Source organism: Homo sapiens, chromosome 8 (genome assembly GCF_000001405.40).
Source record: "Homo sapiens chromosome 8, GRCh38.p14 Primary Assembly".
Taxonomy (NCBI): domain Eukaryota; kingdom Metazoa; phylum Chordata; class Mammalia; order Primates; family Hominidae; genus Homo; species Homo sapiens.
In genome coordinates, this window is record NC_000008.11 from 43,510,776 (window position 1) to 43,516,373 (window position 5,598).

General features: G+C 49.1%; 1 pseudogene; it reads left to right on the forward strand.

Annotated features, from left to right (window-relative positions):
* Nucleotides 2,868-3,646, forward strand: SNX18P27 (sorting nexin 18 pseudogene 27; annotated as a pseudogene).

Genomic DNA, 5,598 nt, shown 5'->3' on the forward strand with positions numbered 1-5,598 from the left:
ACTGAGGTACCAAGAAAGTAGCAAAGAACCTTCTGACTGTCTGGGGACAGTCCTCATGTGGTCCTTGGCTCAGCCTGAAAGGTTCTGGATTAGTCTCCTTGAAGCCCCTGTGATTTGTCTCTAGACCTGTGCTCTGCAGGAAGGGCCCTGAGAGACCAAGCAGCACAGGGTGTCTCATCTGCCAAATGTCCCTCCCTTCCTCCCACTCTGAGACTCAGGAATAGGCTAGATGATGTGTTCAGGCAGTGCCAGGCCACCTCACTGTCTCCTTTGAGATGGGCCCAGAGGACCTTGGGGGGTGAGTGAGAAGCTGGGCACATGGAGCCTGAGGCTGACTGTCCCTCCCTGTGTCTTGGAGGAAAGGCCTTGTCCCAAGAAGACCCACAGGGCCTGATCTGTGGGCACACATGCAGGGAGGGATGGTCTGTGGGCTGACTGGGACATTGGAATGAGACTTTGAGCACTGCTGCTCAGGGGCCTGGTCAGTGGCCCATGGTCAGTGATGACCTGGTCATCAGGACCTGGCCAGTTGGGGCAGGATCAGGGACCTCGTTAGTGGTGGCCTCCTCAGTGAAGGCCTCATCAATGGGGACCTGAAGACCTAGTCATTGGAAGACTGGTTAGTGGTGACCTGGTCAGTGGTGGCCTTATTAGTGGGGCCTGGTCAGTTGGAACATAAACAAGGAAAAAGTAGTTGGTGGGATCTGTATACTTGGGGTCTGGTCAGTTGGGGCCTTAATGGGCTGGGACCTGGTCAGTGGGAGCCTAGTCAGGGGGGCCTAGCCAGCTAGGGACTAATTCATGGAGAATTGTTTAGTGGGATTCGGGTGAGCAGCAACCAGGTAAATTGTGGTCTTCTCAGTGGGGGCCTGGTCAGAGGAAAATTGGTCAGTGGAGTCTGGTCCATGGGGCCTATTAATGGGGGCCTAGTTCGGGAGAGATGGCCAGTGGGTACTTGGTCAATGGGGACCTGGTAAATGGAAGAGTGGACATTAGGAACCTGGCTAGTGGGAACCTGGCCAGCTGGCCGCTGTGTGACCTCAGGCAGGGGGTTTGTCTGAGGAACCTCCTTGCCTCCACCTGTAGGGTAGGTGAGTCAGGTCACCCTGGAGGGCTACTGGGAAGAGGATCTGAGAAGTTGTATTGAATCCAGCATTGCTGGGCAGACCTAGCACTTTACACACGACCTAGATTCCACCTAGGGAGGGTGCCAGCCCTCTGCTGTACCCAGTGCCCCTCCTCTGCATCCCCATGACCACCCTGGGTGGGGAGGACAGAGATTGGGGAGCTCCTGTGGAGACACTAATGCTGGCCCCAGGCCCTGGTGGTGACAGTGATGAGGACCTGGGTGCACCTGTGAGTGGAGCACCTAGGCCTAGCCATAGAAGCAACACAAACACACACATGCACACAAAAACACACACACACATGCACAAACACGTTGCACACACACATCTCAGTTCAGGGGATAAGGGATACTGACTCTGTGCCCTGTTTATCCAAGCAGGCTCCCATTGTGATGGGTTATGTTGCCCCACGATGTCATCATTGCTGAGCCCCCAGTGCCTCTGTGTTGTGGAGCAGTTAGAGACACATGGCAGTGTCCTTGAGTGGCTCTGAGTGTGGGACCATTTTCTAGGTGATCACTCAGCATAGCTTACCGATCAGACTCAAGTGAATGGAACCTGCCCTCTTCCCTTCCTCCTGGCTTTGGAACAGTTGCTACCAGGTGAGTGGTTTTTCCCTCCAGACAGTTACTGAGAGTAATCCCTGAGCACTCACTGGGTGCCTGTTCTGTGCTGACAGTCATCTCATTCATCCTAACAGCAATTCCATTCTGCATCTTCTCTGGACACCCCCAGGACCATCCAGGACAACCCTGCCTGACACCAGGCCTAGTGTGGCTCCATGATAACAAAGACGCAGGTCCAGAGACAATCCCCCTACATGGTGCCTGCATCTGATTCCCCTTGGTGGGTAGTGACGATCACAACATGGAAGAAGCCAGGGCAGCTTGCAGCCAGCTGCTGTGCAGCCCCAGATGGCTCCTGGACCTTGGGAAGTAATTCTCAAAGGGGAAGCTGGTCACTTTGAGGTCCCTGGAGGGATGGGTGAATGTGGCATACTGGCAACGCTGACAGCCAGCAGCATGCCATACATCTCACCTAACATGTGGGACAGAGGCCCCCTCCAAGAGCACGAGTCTCATACATGAAGCATCCTGTCTCAGGCCTCATCCTGAGCCCTAGGAGGGGAGGGGTACCGTGGGCCACCAGCAGCAGCCAGGATTACCACACACGGGACTCAGTATTCTGTAGCCCTGGCCAGACTTAGAATTTGGCCCAAGACAGGACAATATCACTCGGAGCAGCATGTCGGTACTTGGGGTCTGTGCATGCCAGGCAAGACCAACCTGGCTCAAAGAGCAATCAGCCACCTCTATAAGGGTGTCCCAGGAGCAGGTGGACCAGCCACCAACCTCACCCACTCAAGGAAGCAGGGATAGCCAGGTTCCCACAGCCTGAGTGGCCACTACATAACAGCTGATGGAGTAGAGGCCTGAGGAAAGCAGATGGCACTGGGCCCTACCTCCAGGGTAGAGGAACTGATATATCTAGATTGGCAGCGTGTGAGGTTGGTGACTGGTCCACCTGCTCCTGGCACACCTTTGTGGAGGTGGCCGCTTGCTCTTTGAGCCAGTTTGGCCTTGCTGGCATGCACAGGCCTCAGTGCAACAACTGTGCTGCAAATGGAGCCACATGGAGGAAATGAGCAGCAGGCTCAGGAGCAGGCTGTGTGCTGCCTTTGGGGCTCCAGTCCATGTATCAGTTCTCACACAGCACTGAGGGCTTCTTGGGTGCCAAGAGGCAGACCACAGGTCATTTTGAGGAGGACTTTATGTCCAGATGCAGAAAGGGCCCAATCTGGTGGATGAACCACATGCCAGCTTCTGGGTGCAGGCACAGTGCCACATCTTCCATCACTTCCTGATATGTGCCCCACCAGCACTGAAGAGACAGCCTGGAAACAGGACAATATAAAGGCTGAGAAGGGTGAGATGGTGAGTGCCAGCTTCCAAATGACCCTGAGTCCACCCCCATGGTAGCCTTCAACCTTTAGGAATCGAATGCTACACCAAGAAGATGGACAACAGGGCACTCAACTCAACTTCACAGCCAATGAGTTGACATGCAAGCAGATGATGGTGGCAGGCTTTAAGAAGGAGCATCAGAAGGCAGGCAGTTTTTCTTCAGCCTCAGCCAGGCCTTGGAGCTGGACCAGGCCATCCACTTCACCAGAGGTGCCAGCAACACCATCAGTGAGCTCTCTGCCAATCTGTCCCAACAAGGCCTGGACCCCATGATGCACCTGTTATTGTTGTCTCAGGGACACCAGTCCAACGTCCTGGACATCATCCATGTACCCAAGGAAGCTCTTGCCAAAGTCATGGAAAGCAGGCAACATGTGGCAGAAAGGAAGCAGAAGTGCAGAGGCTGATGACATCAGGATCACGGTAACAGGATTTATTTGGCCACTTTGGCTGAAATTCACCACTTCCATCCAACTAAATTGAGAAACTTGAAATCACAAATGCAGTATTTCTTGCAACAAGAGATACTATTTTTCCAAAAAGTCACCCAGGAATTGAGAGTGTTGAATGACTAGATATTCAACTGCGGACTTTTTCCAGTTCAAGGATACCTTCTACAGCAGAATAATAACACTATCAAAGAGCCAGTGCCAGCTATTGTGGTAGTACAAGTATTGTTTTGTGTTAGACTAAAACCCAGCTGAATATTGACTTGTGCAGGAAGCAGTTAATATGGTGATAGAATAGAAACAGCACCAAACTAAATCATACTACAAATGCTTACACTACCTTTGTAACTTTTGGAAGAATGATAATACCATTTACTTCATTGCTTTTTGAAGTATGAATATTTTAGTGTATATGCTGTAGACCTTATATTTATGAAAAGTCTCAAAGAAGCTGGCTGGATAAAGCCTGCTGTAGATGGTTTTATACTGAAAGATTGATGATATGATTCAAATATGTGTCCCCACCAAATTTCATGTTGAATTATGTTTCCTAATGTTGAAGGTGGAAGCTGGTATGAGGTGATTGAATTATGAAAACAAATTTCTCATGAATGGTTTAGCACCATCACTTTGCTACTCTCCTTGTAATCATGAGTGACTTCTTGTGAGATCTGGTCATTGAAAACTCTATGCCACCTCCTTACTTTCCATGTTTTCCTCTTGCCATGTGAGAAAATTCAGTCTTTGTCTTCCACAATGATTGAAAGATTTCTGAGGCCTCCCAGAAGCAAAAGCCACTGTGCTTCCTGTACACTGCTGAATCAAGGGTCAGTTAAACCTCTGTTTCAAAATAAAGCACACAGAAAATGGCAAATGAGGATTGAACGATTGCTATGAAGATACCTGAAAGTGTGGAAGTAGCTTTGGAAGTAAGTAATGGGCAGAGGTTGGAAGATTTGAGATGGCTCAAGTGAAGACAGATAGATGGGAAAATTTCTGGACCATCTTAGAGACTGTTTAAATGGTTGTGACCAAAATGCTGACAGAAACATGGACAGTGAAGGCCAGGCTGAGAAAGGTCTCAGATTGAAATAAGAAGACTTCAAGAAAATGTCTTCCTTTTGGATACGGAAATCTTACACAATGCCTGTACCACTATTGTACCTTAGAAGCAGTGAACTTGCTTTCTATTTCAGCACCTCATAGGCAAAAGAGACTGTAGCCTTGGCTCAGATGGTACTTTGCACTTTCTAACTTTGAGTTAATGGTGGAATGAGTTAAGAATTTGGGAGACTGTTGGCAAGGGATGATTGTTTTTGCAATATGAGAAGGACATTAAATTCGTGGGAGGGACAGAATAATATGGTTTATCTCTACTTCCCTACCAGAACTCATACTCCCTAATGTTAGAGGTGGGGCCTAGGTAGAAAAAGATTTAATCATAAAAGGGTGAGGGTGGATCCTTCATGAATGGTAAAGCAACATGCCCTTAATGCTGTCCTCCTGATAGTGAGTTCTCATGAGATCTGGTTGTTTAAAAGGGGGTGGAACCTCTTTTCTTGCTCTGCCTTGCTCCCACTCTTGTTGTAGGAGACATCTCATTGTCCCTAAGCTGTCTGGTGTGATTGGGAAGCTCTCTGACTCTTCCCAGAAACAGAAGACACAATGCTTCCTTTACAGCCTGCAGAACACTCATTAAATTAAACCTCTATTATTTATGATAATACAGAAATTTGGTACTGCAGAGGGGAGCTGTGAAATGTCTTCAAGGCCTTTTCCCCTTTGACTTGGCTATCAGCACTGGGCTTCTTTATGTGCAAATTTCTGAAGACTTCTTGAATTTTTCCCCTTAAATGGGGTTTTGTGTTATTGCTACATAGTCAAGCTGTTACAGAGATACCTGAAAATGTAGAAGCACGTTCAGAAGTGGGTAACAAAGAATGGGAGAGTTTGGAGGGCTTAGAGGATGACAGAAAAATGAGGGCCTGGTGAGAATGATTTGATCATGAACAGGAGGTGGGTGAGAGTGGAAGAAAAAAGGGGTGGGTAGGATGGGGA